At 35.9% G+C, this 18,881-nt stretch overlaps 1 protein-coding gene across 11 annotated transcripts in view; it reads right to left on the bottom strand.

Moving 5' to 3' along the window:
- The window catches only part of SYCP1 (synaptonemal complex protein 1), a 141,283-nt gene that overhangs the window by 44,274 nt on the left and 78,128 nt on the right, over positions 1 to 18,881 (bottom strand). For 9 of the 11 annotated variants that reach the window (NR_104211.2, XM_017002184.2, NM_001282541.2 and 6 more), the window contains 4 exons: positions 6,642 to 6,758; positions 6,115 to 6,225; positions 4,716 to 4,808; positions 3,777 to 3,851 (listed from right to left, as the gene is read on the bottom strand). Coding sequence is in view for 10 of the 11 variants with exons in the window: in XM_017002184.2 (XP_016857673.1) it covers positions 3,777 to 3,851; positions 4,716 to 4,808; positions 6,115 to 6,225; positions 6,642 to 6,758 (396 nt within the window). In the remaining variant the exon portion in view is untranslated. Of the gene's footprint in view, positions 1 to 923; positions 1,042 to 3,776; positions 3,852 to 4,715; positions 4,809 to 6,114; positions 6,226 to 6,641; positions 6,759 to 18,881 lie in introns of those variants that run through there. The other 2 variants (XM_011542037.3, NM_001282542.2) reach the window with 2 other exon arrangements.

Below are 18,881 nucleotides of genomic sequence, written 5' to 3'. Positions count from 1 at the left end.
ATCCCAGCACTTTGGGGGGCTGAGGCGGGCGGATCACAAGGTCAGGAGATTGAGACCATCCTGGCTAACACAGTGAAACCCCATCTCTACTAAAAATACAAAAAATTATCCAGGCGTGGTGGCAGACACCTGTAGTCCCAGCTACTAGGGAGGCTGAGGCAGGAGAATGGCGTGAACCCGGGAGGTGGAGCTTGCAGTGAGCTGAGATTGCACCACTGCACTCCAGCCTGGGAGACAGAGTGAGACGTGAGACTCTGTCTCAAAAAAAAAAAAAGAGTGTAATTTAACATAATTATGTATATATGTATGTATAATTAGCATTCATCATTAGCTAGATAATCAGTCTATAGATTATAATTATACCTTCATTTTATGTCCTCATGTACATTCATAAATACTGACTATATTTTACAGCATAAAGAAAATGCTAAAGAAATTTCAAAAAAGTAACAATAGTATAGACAATGCAATAAAAGTGGACATTTTTTAAATAGAAGAAGAACACCTAAAGGTATTATCTCTATAACTGTTAGTCCAATCTCAGTATATAGAAAGTTGGAAAGCAGATGGAAAAACAGTAAACTCTGAGATATGGGTTTGTAGGCTATTTTTACCCTTTTTGTATTTTTCTGTATTAATATTTTATAAAATATAAACATAATGTGTTTTTATTAAACAATATAAATTTAGGTATACAATAAATCCTTATATCAATGAGCTTAGACTAAATTACACTGTAGTAACAACCCCAGATCTTAGTGGATTACAAGAGAAGTTTATTTCTCAACCACATTACATGTCAATTATAGACTGGTTTCTACCCTACTCCTTGTTATCTCCAGGAATCTAGGCTGAAGAAGCAACTTCTACGTCAGTCTCAAGGCCAAAAGAAAAGAGAGGCTGGGAAGACGATGTGGTGTCTCTTAAAGCATCCTCTCAGAAAAGCCACTTTTGCTCACATTCCATTGGGCAAAACAAAACCTTTGGCCAAATCTGAAGTCAGCGAGGTGGAAATACATAATTCTTCCTTTGGGAGGGACCCTAATAGAAAAGGGCAGCATACATTTTGAATAAAACAATCTATCACAAGCCCAAATTTTTTATATCTATCTATGTACAGGCATATTTGTGTGTGTGCATGTGTGCACATGTTTGTGTTTATATATTTTTTCATAGATGATCAGAAAGAAACACAATACGATGTAAATGGAGGTCCTAAATTATTTTTGATATGCAAATAAAAAAGAAGCCCTTAAATTTGTTAATAAGGAGTTCAGTGTGACCCAAGACAAGAAAGCAGTTAGGCCAATAGCTAAATTGTAATAGGTGAGGAGATAAGACCTGAAAAAACAGACTAATACTTAAGAAAAGAACAGAATAGTATAGCAGCTTAAGCAGTTTAATGGTTTAAGTTTTTATAAGATGATAGAAATGAGACAGTATAGGGAAGGGATTGAGCCCTGGTAGACCACAGACATAGTAATCAAGACCCCATGGGCCTCACATATCAAGGCATATTCTCTCCCCTACCTTCCTGTCTCCCTTAATAAGCTGACCCAAGTCACATAGCAGAAGGAGGGCCTCTCCTAACTTAGCTGACTAGGCTGAATTCTTAACTATCAAAAGAAGAAACTAATTGTTTATCTCCTTGAAGTAATGTCTCCCAAGGTTACTAAAAGTGGGACTCTAGCATTCCTGATAAGAACCTGACCATCTTTCAAGGTTAGTGAGGCTCTGGCATTCCCGATAAGAACTGGACCAGATCCAGTCTGCTGAAGACAAGACAGACTCCAACACTGACCTTTCACTGATTTTTTCCTCATTATAGTATCATTTTAATACTAAAATCTCCACCCAAGGCAGGGCTTATCCACCATTTTCTGATCATGCAATGTATGTCAGAGCATGATGCCCCATTGCGCAAACACAAAGAAAATTTCGCCTAAACATGCTTGTACATCATTTCATTTTCTGCCTCAGCTTCTAAAATGACAGGAGCTGAGCCTCAGGGAGCTAGCACGGAGATCCCTTTGCCGTAAACTGCTCCCTTGCTTTGATTGAGCCACAAGCCTATTAAACCTTCCCTGAGAAAAATGTCTCTTTGGCCTGGTGTTAATTTCTACTTATGTGAGAGCCAAAGAACTTGAGATACAAGCTACAGTAACAGAATTCTTATTCTTATTTATGTTTACTGACTAGAGTAAAAAGTAAAGATTGCTGAGGGTTTAATAGCATCAAGAGTTAAGCCACAGAAGAATTCCTCTTCTACTGAAACAGTAGGATAAAGGTAAGCATGAATCTTATTATTGCAGATGAAGGGAAAGCCATTTTGTTAGTCCTTTAATTGAAAATATAAAAATTTCAAAGCCCTGTACTCAGATAAAGGGAAAACAAAGATAAATAAGGCATAATTAGACCTTGCAGAGCTTGCAATATAACAGGGGGCACAGAGTGAAATAACCATTTTAACATTAAAAACAAAGTGCTATGAGAATACACACATATATAGTAAGCTCACAACTATAAGATGAAAGATGTGTGAGATTTTCCAAGATAGAAAAGGATGAAAGGAATTAAATGCAGGAAACAAAGTAAACAAATTCTCAGAGGCTTGAAATTGAAAGTGTATGTTACCTAAGCTGTTGCAGAGTGATTAAGAGAATAGGTTTGAAGCCATGCAAAAATAGACCTAGGTTTGAAATCTAGTCATTCTGCTCTCTTACTACGTAATCCTGAATAAATAATGTAACCTCTGTCAAAGTAAAGATAATAATAAATTGTGGGATATAACATTGCTGTAAAGATTAAATTAAATGTAAGTAGGGTACTAAACACAGTTCCCATCTCATAGAAACCAAAAAAAATAGTATTTGTCATTTATAGGGTGAATCAATTCACCTTGCAAACTGTAAAACACTACAGAGATAGCCTTTTTTTCTGAAACATGATGAATAGCTTCAAAAAAAGCATATCTAAATATATAAGCATTTTAATACGAGATAATATTACTCATATACAGTATATTTAAAAGTGTTCCAGGGGGTAGGGATAGCATTAGGAGATATACCTAACGTTAAACGACGAGTTAATGGGTGCAGCACACCAACATGTCACATGTATACATATGTAACAAACCTGCACGTTGTGCACATGTACCCTAAAACTTAAAGTATAATAAAAAAAAAGGAAACATGCTAGAAGGATATACATTAAAAATGTTAACAGTATTTGCAGAAAAAAAAGGGTTCCTTTTCTTTTTTTTTTTTTTTTTTTTTTTTTTTTTTTGAGACGGAGTCTCGCTCTGTCTCCCAGGCTAGAGTGCAGTGGCGCGATCTCGGCTGCTGCAAGCTCCGCCTCCCGGGTTCACGCCATTCTCCTGCCTCAGCCTCCCGAGTAGCTGGGACTACAGGCGCCCGCCACCGCACCCGGCTAATTTTTTGTATTTTTAGTAGAGACAGGGTTTCACCGTGTTAGCCAGGATGGTCTCGATCTCCTGACCTCATGATCCGCCCGCCTCGGCCTCCCAAAGTGCTGGGATTACAGACATGAGCCACAAAAGTGTTCTTTTCTTAAAAGTACACTTATATTTACGTGTGTTTTGCATTTACATTAGGAAATATTCTAAATGTTTCTAGAAAAAAGCTTCTGGGGGAAAATTATTTTCTCATCCCGTTATTAAAATTTATCAAATTATTTTATAATATGACATAATTCTAAAAATGCAAAGTTGCCCCTAAACCTTGTAATCATTTTATCTATAATGCCAAAAAACCTACCTTCTCTTCTCTTTCTATTTCAAGTTGCTTCTTAACAGACAAAAGTTCAGCTTTGAGATTGGATAGTTCAATCTCCTAAAGAAAAAGAAACATGAAGTTTAGAAGAGCTTCCATGTATTTCTCAAGACAATGAAAATATAAACTAGTGCTCTGAGTAAATTTAATATTGTAGAGAAATAAATTCACTCATAAAATGTAGATACTTTTAAAGTCAACTGATATAAAGGCTGCTAGCTTAACATAGCTAAAAACCTCATTTAAACAAGTTTTTGGGCTGGGTGCAGTGGCTCATGCCTGTAATCCCAGCACTTCCCTGGGAGGCAGAGGCAGGCATATCACTCGAGGTCAGGAGTTTGAGGAAAGCCTGGCCAACATGGTGAAACCCCGTCTCTACTAAAAATATTAATACAAAAATTAGCCGGGTGTGGTGATGCACACCTGTAGTCCCAGCTACTCAGGAGGCTGAGGCCAGAGAACTGCTTGAACCCGGGAGGTGGAGGTTGCAGTGAGCCAAGATCATGCCAGTGCACTCCAGCCTGGGGGACACAGAAAGACTCCAACTCAAAAAACAAAAACAAAACAAAACAAAACAAAATCAAGTTTTTTGTAGTTTTCTTTAAAGAAAACTTCAACACAAAGTATATCTCTCCTCGTTCTCTCCCAGTTTATCCCACCCTCCTCTCCCAATTTCAATCAGAGGTCCAAACTTATTTGTTTACTGGAGTTTATAAAATTTCACTTGAAAAAATAGTTTGTTCCACTATTTCAAAAACTAAATTAGAAAAAAACATGTAACTAGAAGATCTATAAGATCCCTTTCAGAGTTAAGACTCTGATTCTATAGCTCAAAAATTAGTTTTACTTAATATTATTCTTTACCACCAGTCACTGCTGACATTATGAAAACTGGCCGTTACTGCAATTTTTTCTGTATCTCACCAAAGATGCTCTCAGTGATGACTGTTCTTGTTCTTTGCTCTTATAAAGTCCTAATTCTGAGTCTCTTTCTTCAATGATCTTATCATATTGGTGCTATATTAAACAAAGAAGACATTTTAGATATATTAAAACTGAATAGATTATAAGATTGGTATCCTAACATATTTTAATATTTAATTTAGTATTTAATTAATTATTTAGTATTTAATTTTGCAGAAACTTATGTTTATAAATTCAGTAATATATATGGGTATATATTTTTAATGTTTCAATTATATTTTTTCATTCAAACAACCTCAATAGTGAAACACACAACAGTCTTGGAAATAACCAAAGAGCAAAAGATAATTCTTTTATCTTTGGAAACATTGAATTTTAACATTTAAAAATTTGCCAGAAACACCAGGGCTTCTACAAAACTGACTGATTTCAAATCTGGGACAGGAAATACAAGCCTTAAACTAGCATTAGGAGATATACCTAATGTAAATGATGAGTTAATGGGTGCAGCACACCAACATGGCACATGTATACATATGTGACAAACCTGCATGTTGTGCACATGTACCCTAGAACTTAAAGTATAATAAAAAAATTATTACATCAAAAAAAGAAGCCTTAAACATTTTGTCATAACTCAAAGAAAGTTATCAGAGAAAATTACAGTTAAGTCAAAAGGACTTGCCACACAGCTTAAAGAGGCTCCTGCTAGCCAAAGGTGGGAAAATGTGAGTTATCAATAAGGACAGATGCTGCACTGGATTGAAACATACCAAATGTGTTCAAATCTATGAGTTCACAATGTTATTTAAATTATTTTTTAAATCCTCACCACTTCCCTCATAATAATCTCGTATTCCAGCAGCTTTTTTTTTTAATTGAATAGGTAGGTATACCCTACCTCTTCTCCAAATCTTAAGGGGAATGAGGCTTAATTCCTTAACAAATGGATACTCTAAAACAACAATTAAAAATATAAGACAAAAACACATCAAACACTAAGTATTTCATCTATTTATTCCTTTGATAAAAATTGATTTAGCCTATTATATGTTAGATATCAATGAGATACTTATCCTGGTTATGTACTTAAAAATATATAAGGTAGAAAGTGCTATAAGAGACTATTAGCAGAATCCAGAAAAAGAGTGATTACTTCCATTCATCACAGATAACAAAGAGAGATTTCCTCAAGGATGTGACACACAGGCTCAACTTTGTATGGTTAAGATCTGAACTTGAAGAAATGGGCATCAAGGGTATTCTAGCTATAGACAGTCACTGTTGCATAGACAATAATCTTCTCTGACAAATAAGAATACTATCTTGATTTCACCATTATTTAACAGAAATATGGCTCCAATTAATAATTTTCATTATATAAGAAGAAAAAAATTACCTTATGTTTTTCCATAAGTGCTACCATTTCAGCTATTTTATGTTGACATCGCTTATCAATTTCTTTCTGTAATTTTACTGCTTCATCAGCTATTACTTTTGCTTTCTCAACCTATCAAATAAGCAAAAAAAAAAAGTTTCTTAAAATAAATGCACAAAAAACAAACAAGTGTAAAAAGTATATGTTCTACTTAAATAAAAGCAAACCTCAAACACCAGGAAACTGGAAAAACAAGTAGAAAATGCACTGTTTGGGGTTTTTTCGGGGTGTTTTATGAAGTAAGATGACACTATACCACTGTGGCAATCATTTAATCCTTTCAAAATAATTATATACTCAAATACTTAGAATAGCAAGGATACTTTTAGTTTCTATAAAAACTGATAAACTGACCCTTATATAAATTTACTAACCCTTTTCTAAAATTGTAATTTAATAGTTAAGATTTTTTTACTTTCCTCTTAAAATCCTAATAAAAATATAGATTTTTAGTATAATAAGTTCTTAATACATTAAGTTTTTCCCACCTCTTCCAAAAGATTTTCTTCTGATATCTTTTTGTCCTCAATTTCTTTCTGATAGGTGTCTGTGATTTCTCCAAATTTCTGTTTGGCACTTTCTAGTTCTAACTCTAATTTATTGACCTTTAAGTAAAGAAAAATAGCATGAATATTAGTAAATGCTATGGATTACTTGAAAACATTCCATATTCATTTTGTGGTTTTGTGAATCTTAGAAGATTACTTATTCATGGAAATTAGGTTGGATCACTTTCCTTACATTTTCATATGGTGAGAAGTGTTTTGTTTTCAAAAAATCTATCTTCTCCCCTAAAATATGTATTTTTTCTTGACAAGTAATATAAAATAAACACCCATGCATTTATTTTTAATGAATTTCTCAACAATATTTACATTGGTTACTCTCACTCAGTTTAATACGCTTTATTAGAATAAGTATTTCCATTGTACAGAAAACTCATGTGATTCAAAGGCATATTCTTAATGAGATTAATTTTCTATAAAGAAGCAACAACTTCCATTTATATTATTTTCACATACTTTGTATAAATATTTACTGAGTTGTGTAGATATAATTCAAATATAGAAATTATTAAGAGGGAAGGAAAGCCCTGAATTAGCACCCTTCATATTCACTTTTATCTTAGGGCTAAATTAATACTGGCAAGGTGTTATACGGCAGGGACAGGAATTGGGAAGAGGGTTATGGGTAATATAATGATGAATCAGACTGTATTTTGTATCCATGAGTCAATCATCGACTTTAAAATATAGACCATTACCAATATTGATAAAAGCTATTAAATGCCCCTCCCTCTTCATTAGTTTTCCCCTACTGCCCTTTCGAGCATAAAAAACATTCTTAATTTATATTCCCTTACTCTTCTTTATAGATTCATTGCATAATTATGTGTCCCTAAACAATATTTCAAGATTTTTTTTGAACTTCATATAAATGTTTTCATAGTACATTATTTTTCTGGCTTGCTTTTCTCATTGAACAGTTATGTTTGAGGTATTTATGTGTAAAAATACAGTTCTTTCATTTTCACTGCTGAGTAGTGTTCTATTGTATGAATATAACACTGTTTATGTAATCAATTGTTCAGGGCACTGAGTTGTCTCCATTTTGGGACTGGTACACACACAATAGTGCTATGAATGTTCTTGTAAACACCTCCTGGTGCAAATGTAGAATTTCTCTATAGTATATACCTAGGATTGGAATTGCCGGGTCATAGGGCAGGTTACATATTCAACTTTAAAGATGACATTATTTTCCATATGCATTTATACCAATTTAAATTCTCAGCAACAAGGTTATGACTTTTCCTGCTTCACAACTTCACCAAGAGTTGATAGTGTCAGACAAAAGTATTTGACTGAAGTTTTGTTGTATAATTTGCACTTTCCAGAAAATTATGTAACATGTTTAACTCTTCATATTTTCTGTTCTGTGACCATCTCTGTTCATATATTTTACTCATTTATGTACTTGGTGCTTCATTTTCTTCTTAATTACATTTAATGGGTTCTAATCCTTTGTTCTTTATATATGTAAAGTTGGGATATTTCTCCAATTTTGAGGTTTGTTACTTTACTTTCCAAGTAACCAGAAATTATTTTAGTATATATGAATGTATCAATATTTTCAAATATGGTTGTGTTTTTTAATCTTATTTAGGAAATCTTTCTTTACTACCAGGTCACAAAGATATTGTCCCACATCTTCTTCAAATGTTTTGAAGCCCTGCCCTTCACATTTATTTATATCCTTAAGGAATTTGTGTTTGTATGTAGTGTAGAGGTAGACTTTCATATTTTTCCATATAGATAGTCAAATGTTCTAGCACTACATATCTGCAATATCACTTCTGTATTGTGTCTAGTTACCATGTACCCCTGTATCTTTTTCTAGGCTTCTCTTTTATTCAATTGACTTGACAACTTCTGTGCCAGTGTCATACTGTCTTAATTACCTTAGCTATACAATTAATCTTTATATCTGGTAGGGCACATTTTCCTACTTTGTTCTTAAAGATTGCTTTAGTTATTCTTGGCCTATATGATCATTTTTGTTAAATGTCCGAGTGTTCTTGAAAAGCATGTTTTCCTCACTTTTTAATATAAAATTATCCTTATTTCTCCAACATTCTTAAAAGATAGGTATGTTGCGGACAAAATTTAATGTTGACAGTAATCTTCTTAGCCCATGAAAATACTTTCTCACTGTTTTCTGACTTCTATTGTTGTTTGTTGAGATGTTCATGGCCAATATGTCATTTCTTCACTTTCATCTTTCATTTCTCTCCAGATACTTTTAATACTTTTATGTGTCCAATATTCTTTAGTTATACCAAGTCTAAATGTGGATTTCTTTTAATTTTTCTTGCTTGGTATAAATTTCTCTTTCTATATCTGTGAATTCAGGTCTTTCATCAATTCTAAATATTCTCAGTAGAGGTTGAGTATTCCTTTTCCAAAATGCTTGGGACCAAAAATATTTCAGATTTATCTAATGAGATATCCTAAGGATAGGACCTATGTCTAAACACAAAACTCATTTATATTTTGTATATACCTTACACATAGCCTGAAGGTAATTTAATACAATATTTTAATAATTTTGTTCATGAAAAAGTATGTGTTAAGTACTTGTGCATGGACTTCTCCACTTGTGGCATTATGTCTGTGCTATAAAGTTTTGGACTTGGGAGCATTTTAGATTTTGGATTTTCAGATTAGAAATACCCTGTAATTACTGCTTACCCCCAGTTCACTCTATTTTTTCTTTCTTCTTGGACAATACAAAACCCTTAGGAAAAAAAATCATCAAAGTACATGACAACAATAATAGTATACTAACATATAAGTAAGACATAAGAGATAAAGGAGATAATGTAGTCTAAGGCCAAATATACCAGTAAAAGAGACAAAGATTGTCAGAGTGCATAAAATTATAAACTCTGGCTACATGCTATTTATAAGAGTCATTTAAAACATAAAGATAGAGGATAAGAGTAAACAGATTTAAAAGATATAACAAGCAAACATGAAACAGAATAAAAAATGGTATAGTTATAATAATAACATAAAAACTTGCTCTAAGGCAAGTTTATCTCTACTAGAGATAAAGGAGGTATCTTGTTTTAACAACAATTTCCATTATATATAAACATGTAAAATACATATTAAGTATACAGTTGAACTTTGAACAACATGGGTTTGAACTGCATCCATTTATATGTGGATTTTTTTTCAACCAAATTTAAATGGACAATACAGTATCCACAGGATATGAAACTCACATATATGGAGGGCCAACTTCTAGTTTGCATGGGTTCCACAGGGCTGACTAGGGGATATGAGTATGCGCAGATTTTGGTATTCCTGGGGGGTTCTGGAACCAATCCCCCATGTATAAACCAAGGGAACAACTATACACATAAAGTTCTATCGTATGTAATAAAAAGTTGCACATATTCAAAATAATGTACACCCAATAATATGGCCTTGAAATAAAGACAAGTTAACAGAACTGAAATTAGAAAACAGAAATCCACAATCATTGTGTAAAGTTTTTAAACACATCTATCTCAGTCAACTACTTAATAAAACACAAATAAAAAAAAGCAGAGGTACAGAATGAAAAAAAGATACACAAATATAAAGAATATAACTGGTAATCTTTACATAAAGGAAACACCCAACAACTATACAATATACATTATTTTCATGTATGTAAGGGATGTTTACAAAAAGTGACCCCATATATTGGGCCATCAGGCAAATATCAATAAATTTCAAAGTACTAAAGTCATACCAGAGTGTGCTCTCTAGTAACAATTCAGTTATGCTAGAAATCAGTAACAAAAACACAACATGTCCCCTTAAATTTAGAAATTAAGAGATACAGGAGGGCATTGGGCTAAACAATACTAATTTACTATATATCAAAACCTATAGGACACAGATACAGCAATACTTAGTGGGAAATTTACAGCATTGAAATGTGTACATTAGAAAGACTGAAAATTAATGATCTAAGAACTCATCTTAAGATAGGTCTGGGCACAGTGGCTCACACCTGTAACCTCAGCACTTTGGGAGACTGACGTGGGCAGATCACTTGAGGCCAAGAGTTTGAGACCAGTCTGGCCAACATAATGAAACCCCTTCTCTACTAAAAATACAAAAATTAGCCGGCATGGAGGCACACGCCTGTAATCCCAACTACTCAGGAAGCTGAGGCATGAGAGTTGCTTGAACCCAGGAGGTAGAGGTTGCAGTGAGCCGAGATCACAGCCACTGCACTCCAGCGTGGGTGACAGAGGCAGACTCCATCTCAAAAAACAAAGGAAAAAGACTTCCCAAATTGACAAACTCCTGGTGACACTGATAAAGAAAAAAACAAAAGAAGGAACAAATAACCAACATCAGATTAAAAACAGGCTATTACTGTTTTTAACAGTAAATGCTACAGACAATTCTGAAACTGTAGAAAATGTAGATGAACTGGATGAAACCCAGAAAAATATTATTTATCAAACTTGAAGAAATAGGACAACCAAGTTATACTGTAACTATGATTAAATTGCTTCAGAAATTAAAAGCCTTTGCATAAACAGAACTCTAGGCCCAGTAGCTTTCGTCGATGAGTTCAACTTCAATGAGACATAATTTACATATAATAAAACGCATGGTTTTAAGTGTAAAGTTTAATAAGCTTTGACAAATTGTTTTTAAAACCATGTAATGGCAATACCAACCAAGACATAATTTCCATAATCCCAGAAAGTTCCCTCATATCCCTTAACAAACTAATAGTACCCCACTGAGGCAACCATTGTTCTTTCTGTCTCCATAAATTGGTTTTGTTGATTCAAAAACTTCATTTAAATGAAATCATGACAAACATACTCTCTTGTATATAGGTTATTCATTCAGCATATTACAAGATTCATCCATGTTCCTGTGACTATCAGTAGGTCTTTTTTACTTCTGAGTAGTATTCCATTATATGAATATACCAAATTTGTTTATCCAGTCTCTTCTTAATGAACATTTTATGTGTTTCCATTTTTTATCATTGTGGATAAAGCCACCATGAATATTCTTGTACAAGATTTTTAGTGGACATGTTTCCATTTATTTTAAGTAAATATCTAGGAAAATAATTGTTGGATCACACAGTAGATGCATGTTTAGTTTTAGAAGAAACCACCAAAACATTTTCCATACTGTATGGAATACTGTATGTAGAGGCCACATTTAGTCTACCCATTCATCTGTCAATGGACACATGGGTTGCTTCCAACTTTTGGCTATTGTGAATAATGTTGCTATGAACATAGGTGAACATATATCTCTTTGAGACTATGCTTTCAATTCTTTTAGGTATATATCTAGAAGTGAAATTAGTGGATCATATAGTTATTTTAGTTTTATTTTTTTGGGGAACCACAAAATTGTTCTCCACAGTGACTGTACCATCTGACATTCCCATCAACAGTGCTCGAGAATTCCAATTTCTCCACAACCTCATTAACATGTTATTTTCTGTTCTTTCATTAGTACCCATTCTAATGGGTATGAGGTAATATCTCATGAGATTTTGATTTGCAATGATTACTGATATTAAGCATATTTTCATTTTTATGTGCTTATTGGCCATTTGTGTATATTTGGAGAAATATCTATTCAAGTCCTTTGCCCATACTTTATTTTTTTTTCCAGGCCAAGATGAATTTATGGATGAATCCTACAAAGCTATTGAGGAAAAAATAATACCAGTTCTAAACAAATGGTTCCAGAATATTGAAGAGGAGGGTATAGTTTCCACTCATTCTTTTTTTTCCTTTATCAAATTTATTTATGTATTTACTTATTTATTTTTGATTTATTTATTTTTTTAATTATACTTTAAGTTCTAGGGTACATGTGCACAATGTGCAGGTTCGTTACATACATATACATGTGCCATGTTGGTGTGCTGTACCTGTTAACTCGTCATTTACATTAGGTATATCTCCTAATGCTATCCCTCCCCCCTCCCCCCATCCCACAACAGGCCCTGGTGTGTGATGTTCCCCACCCTGTGTCCAAGTGTTCTCATTGTTCAATTCACACCTATGAGTGAGAACATGAGGTGTTTGGTTTTTCTGTCCTGGCAATAGTTTGCTCAGAATGATGGTTTCCAGCTTCATCCATGTCCCTACAAAGGACATGAACTCGTCCTTTTTTATGGCTGCATAGTATTCCATGGTGTATATGTGCCACATTTTCTTAATCCAGTCTATCATTGATGGACATTTGGGTTGGTTCCAAGTCTTTGCTATTGTGAATAGTGCTGCAATAAACATACATGTGCATGTGCCTTTATAGCAGCATGATTTATAATCCTTTGGGTATATAACCAGTAATGGGATCTCTGGGTCAAATGGTATTTCTAGTTCTAGGTCCCTGAGGAATCACCACACTGTCTTCCACAATGGTTGAACTACTTTACAGTCCCACCAACAGTGTAAAAGTGTTCCTATTTCTCCACATCCTCTCCAGCACCTGTTGTTTCCTGACTTTTTAATGACTGCCACTCTAACTGGCATGAGATGGTATCTCATTGTGGTTTTGATTTGCATTTCTCTGATGGCCAGTGATGATGAGCATCTTTTCATGTGTCTGTTGGCTGCATAAATGTCTTCTTTTGAGAAGTGTCTGTTCATATCCTTCACCCACTTTTTGATGGGGTGGTTTGATTTTTTTCTTGTAAATTTGTTTAAGTTCTTTGTAGATTCTGGATATTAGCCATTTGTCAGATGGGTAGATTGTAAAAATTTTCTCCCATTCTGTAGGTTGCCTGTTCACTCTGATGGTAGTTTCTTTTGCTGTGCAGAAGCTCTTTAGTTTAATTAGATCCCATTTGTCAATTTTGGCTTTTGTTGCCATTGCTTTTGGTGTTTTAGTCATGAAGTCCTTGCCCATGCCTATGTCCTGAATGGTATCGCCTAGGTTTTCTTCTAGGGTTTTTATGATTTTAGGTCTAACATTTAAGTCTTTAATCCATCTTGAATTAATTTTTGTATAAGGTATAAGGAAGGGATCCAGTTTCAGCTTTCTACATATGGCTAGCCAGTTTTCCAAGCACCATTTATTAAATAGGGAATCCTTTCCCCATTTCTTGTTTTTGTCAGGTTTGTCAAAGATCAGATGGTTGTAGATGTGTGGTATTATTTCTGAGGGCTCTGTTCTGTTCCATTGGTCTATATCTCTGTTTTGGTACAAGTACCATGCTGTTTTGGTTACTGTAGCCTTGTAGTATAGTTTGAAGTCAGGTAGCATGATGCCTCCAGCTTTGTTCTTTTCGCTTAGAATTGTCTTGGCAATGCGGGCTCTTTTTTGGTTCCATATGAACTTTAAAGGAGTTTTTTCCAATTCTGTGAAGAAAGTGATTGGTAGCTTGATGGGGATGGCATTGAACCTATAAATTACCTTGGGCAGTATGGCCATTTTCATGATCTTGATTCTTCCTATCCATGAGCATGGAATGTTCTTCCATTTGCTGTGTCCTCTTTTATTTTGTTGAGCAGTGGTTTGTAGTTCTCCTTGAAGAGGTCCTTCGCATCCCTTGTAAGTTGGATTCCTAGGTATTTTATTCTCTTTGAAGCAATTGTGAATGGGAGTTCACTCATGATTTGGCTCTCCGTTATTGGTGTATAGGAATGCTTGTGATTTTTGCACATTGATTTTGTATTCTGAGACTTTGGGGAAGTTGCTTATCAGCTTAAGGAGATTTGGGGCTGAGACAATGGGGTTTTCTAAATATACAATCATGTCATCTGCAAACAGGGACAATTAGACTTCCTCTTTTCCTAATTGAATAGCCTTTATTTCTTTCTCCTGCCTGATTGCCCTGGCCAGAACTTCCAACACTATGTTGAATGGGAGTGGTGAGAGAGGGCATCCCTGTCTTGTGCCTGTTTTCAAAGGGAATGCTTCCAGTTTTTGCCCACTCAGTATGGTATTGGCTGTGGGTTTGTCATAAATAGCTCTTATTATTTTGAGATATGTTCCATCAATACCTAGTTTATTGAGTGTTTTTAGCATGAAGGGGTGTTGAATTTTGCCAAAGGCCTTTTCTGCATCTATTGAGATAATCATGCGATTTTTGTCTTTGGTTCTGTTTATGTGATGGATTACGTTTATTGATTTGCGTATGTTGAATCAGCCTTGCATCCCAGGGATGAAGCCAACTTGATTGTGGTGGATAAGCTTTGTGATGTGCTGCTGGATTTGGTTTGCCAGTATTTTATTGAGGATTTTTGCGTCAATGTTCATCAGGGATATTGGTCTAAAATTCTCTTTTTTTGTTGTGTCTCGGCCAGCCTTTGGTATCAGGATGATGCTGGCCTCATAAAATGAGTTAGGGAGGATTCCCTCTTTTTCTATCGATTGGAATAGTTTCAGAAGGAATGGTACCAGCTTCTGTTTGTACCTCTGGTAGAATTCGGCTGTGACTCCGTCTGGTCCTGGACTTATTTTGGTTGGTAGGCTACTAATTATTGCCTCAATTTCAGAACCTTTTTGGTCTACTCAGTGATTCAACTTCTTCCTGGTTTAGTCTTAGGAGGGTGTATGTATCCAGGAATTTGTCCATTTCTTCTAGATTTTCTACTTTATTTGCATAGAGGTGTTTATAGTATTCTCTGATGGTAGTTTGTATTTCTGTGGGATCACTGGTGATATCCCCTTTATCATTTTTTATTGCATCTATTTGATTCTTTTCTCTTTTCTTCTGTATTAGTCTTGCTAGCAGTCTGTCAATTTTGTTGATCTTTTCAAAAAACCAGCTCCTGGATTCATTGATTTTTTGGAAGGGTTTCTTGTGTCTCATCTTCAGTTCTGCTCTGATCTTAGTTATTTCTTGCCTTCTGCTAGCTTTTGAATGTGTTTGCTCTTGCTTCTCTAGTTCTTTTAATTGTGATGTTAGGGTGTCAATTTTAGATCTTTCCTGCTTTCTTTTGTGGGCATTTAGTGATACAAATTTCCCTCTACACACTGCTTTAAATGTGTCCCAGAGATTCTGGTATGTTGTGTCTTTCTTCTCATTGGTTTCAAAGAACATATTTATTTCTGCCTTCATTTCGTTATGTACCAGTAGTCATTCAGGAGCAGGTTGTTCAGTTTCCATGTAGTTGAGTGGTTTTGAGTGAGTTTCTTAATCCTGAGTTCTAGTTTGATTGCACTGTGGTCTGAGAGACAATTTGTTACAATTTCTGTTCTTTTACATTTGCTGAGGAGTGCTTTACTTCCAACTATGTGGTCAATTTTGGAATAGGTGTTGTGTGGTGCTGAAAATAATGTACATTCTGTTGATTTGGGGTGGAGAGTTCTGTAGATGTCTATTAGGTCGGCTTGGTGCAGAGCTGAGTTCAATTCCTGGATATCCTTGTTAACTTTCTGTCTCATTGATCTGTCTAATGTTGACAGTTGGGTGTTAAAGTCTCCCATTATTATTGTGTGGGAGTCTAAGTACCTTTCTAGGTCTCTAAGGACTTGCTTTATGAATCTGGGTGCTCCTGTATTGGGTACATATATATTTAGGATGGTTAGCTCTTCTTGTTGAATTGATCCTTTATCATTATGCTATGGTCTTCTTTGTCTCTTTTGATCTTTGTTGGTTTAAAGTCTGTTTTATCAGAGACTGGGATGGCAACCCCTGCTTTTTTTTGTTTTCCATTTGCTTGGTAGATCTTTCTCCACCCCTTTATTCTGATCCTGTGTGTCTCTGCACATGAGATGGGTCTCCTGAATACAGCACACTGATGGGTCTTGACTCTTTATCCAATTTGCCAGTCTGTATCTTTTAATTGGAGTATTTAGCCCATTTACATTTAAGGTTAATATTGTTATGTGTGAATTTGATCCTGTCATTATGATGTTAGCTGGTTATTTTGCTCGTTATTTGATGCAGTTTCTTCCTAGCATCGATGGTCTTTATAATTTGGCATGTTTTTGCAGTGGCTGGTACCGGTTGTTCTTTTCCATGTTTAGTGCTTCCTTCATGAGCTCTTGTAAGGCAGGCCTGGTGGTGACAAAATCTCTCAGCATTTGCTTGTCTGTAAAGGATTTTATTTCTCCTTCACTTATGAAGTTTAGTTTGGCTGGATATGAAATTCTGGGTTGAAAATTCTTTTCTTTAAGAATGTTGAATATTGGCCCCCACTCTCTTCTGGCTTGTAGAGTTTCTCCAGAGATCCGCTGTTAGTCTGATGGCCTTCCCTTTGTAGGTAACCTGACCTTTCTCTCTGGCTGCCCTTAACATTTTTTCCTTCATTTCAACTTTGGTGAATCTGACAATTATGTATCTTGGAGTTGCTCTTCTCGAGGAGTATCTTTGTGGTGTTCTCTGTATTTCCTGAATTTGAATGTTGGCCTGCCTTGCTAGGTTGGGGAAGTTCTCCTGGATAATATCCTGCAGAGTGTTTTCCAACTTTGTTCCATTCTCCCCATCACTTTCAGGTACACCAATCAGACGTAGATTTGGTCTTCTTTTCACATAGTCCCATATTTCTTGGAGGATTTATTCATTTCTTTTTACTCTTTTTTCTCTAAACTTCTCTTCTCGCTTCATTTCATTCATTTGATCTTCAATCACTGATACCCTTTCTTCCACTTGATCGAATCAGCTACTGAAGCTTGTGCATGCATGCATCACATAGTTCTCATGCCATGGTTTTCAGCTCCATCCGGTCATTTAAGGTCTTCTCTATGCTGTTTATTCTAGTTAGCCGTCTGTCTAATCTTTTCTCAAGGTTTTTAGCTTCTTTGCAATGGGTTCGAACATCCTCCTTTAGCTCGGAGAAGTTTGTTATTACTGATCATCTGAAGCCTTCTTCTCTCAACTCATCAAAATCATTCTCCATCCAGCTTTGTTCCATTGCTGGCGAGGAGCTGCATTCCTTTGGAGGAGAAGAGGCACTCTGATTTTTACAATTTTCAGCTTTTCTGCTCTGGTTTCTCCCCATCTTTGTGGTTTTATCTACCTTTGGTCTTTGAGGAAGGTGACGTACAGATAGGGTTTTGGTGTGGATGTTGTTTCTGTTTGTTAGCTTTTCTTCTAACAGTCAGGACTCTCAGCTGCAGGTCTGTTGGAGTTTGCTGGAGGTCCATTTCAGACCCTGTTTGCCTGGGTATCACCAGCGGAGGCTGCAGAATAGTGAATATTGCTGAACAGCAAATGTTGCTGCCTGATCGTTCCTCTGGAAGCTTCATCTCAGAGGGGTACCCAGCCATGTGAGGTGTCAGTCTGCCCCTACTGGGAGGTGCCTCCCAGTTAGGCTACTCAGGGGTCAGGGACCCACTTGAGGAGGCAGTCTGTCTGTTCTCAGATCTCAAACTCCATGCTGGGAGGACCACTACTCTCTTCAAAGCTGTCAGACAGGGAGGATTAAGTCTGCCGAAGTTTCTGCTGCCTTGTGTTCAGCTACGCCCTGCCCCCAGAGGTGGAGTCTACAGAGGCAGGCAGGCCTCCTTGAGCTGTAGTGGGTTCCACCCAGTTCGAGCTTTTCTTTGTTTACCCACTCAAGCCTCAACAATGGCAGATGCCCCTCCCCCAGTCTCACTGCCTCCTTGCAGTTCGATCTCAGACTGCTGCACTAGCAGTGAGCGAGGCTCCTTGGGCGTGGGACCCTCCCAGCCAGGCAAGGGATATAATCTCCTGGTGTGTTGTTTGCTAAGACCATTGGAAAAGTGCAGTATTAGGGTGGGAGTGTCCCAATTTTCCTGGTACCATCAGTCACGGCTTCTCTTGGTTAGGAAAGGGAATTCCCCAACCCCTTGTGCTTCCCAGGTGAGGCGATGCCCTACCCTGCTTCAGCTCACGCTCTGTGGGCTGCACCCACTGTCCGACAAGCCCCAGTGGGATGAACCCAGTACCTCAGTTGGAAATGCAGAAATCACCCATCTTCTGCGTCACTCATGCTGGGAGCTGTAGACTGGAGCTGTTCCTATTCAGCCATCTTGCAACCCAGTTTTCCCCCTTTGCCAATATTTTAACCAGTTTATTTTACAGTCTTTTGCCTATTTTGAGTTGAGATATTTATTTTTTTATTATTGAGTTTCAAGAGTTATTTATATATTCTGGATACATGTCATCTGTCAAATAAATGTTTAGTCAGTGTTTTCTTTTTCTTTGTACCTTGTCTATTCATTTGCTTAATAATGCCTTTTGATAAACAGATCTTTCAA

This window comes from Homo sapiens, chromosome 1 (genome assembly GCF_000001405.40).
Source record: "Homo sapiens chromosome 1, GRCh38.p14 Primary Assembly".
Classification (NCBI taxonomy): domain Eukaryota; kingdom Metazoa; phylum Chordata; class Mammalia; order Primates; family Hominidae; genus Homo; species Homo sapiens.
This window is presented reverse-complemented; position numbering and strand designations above follow the sequence as displayed.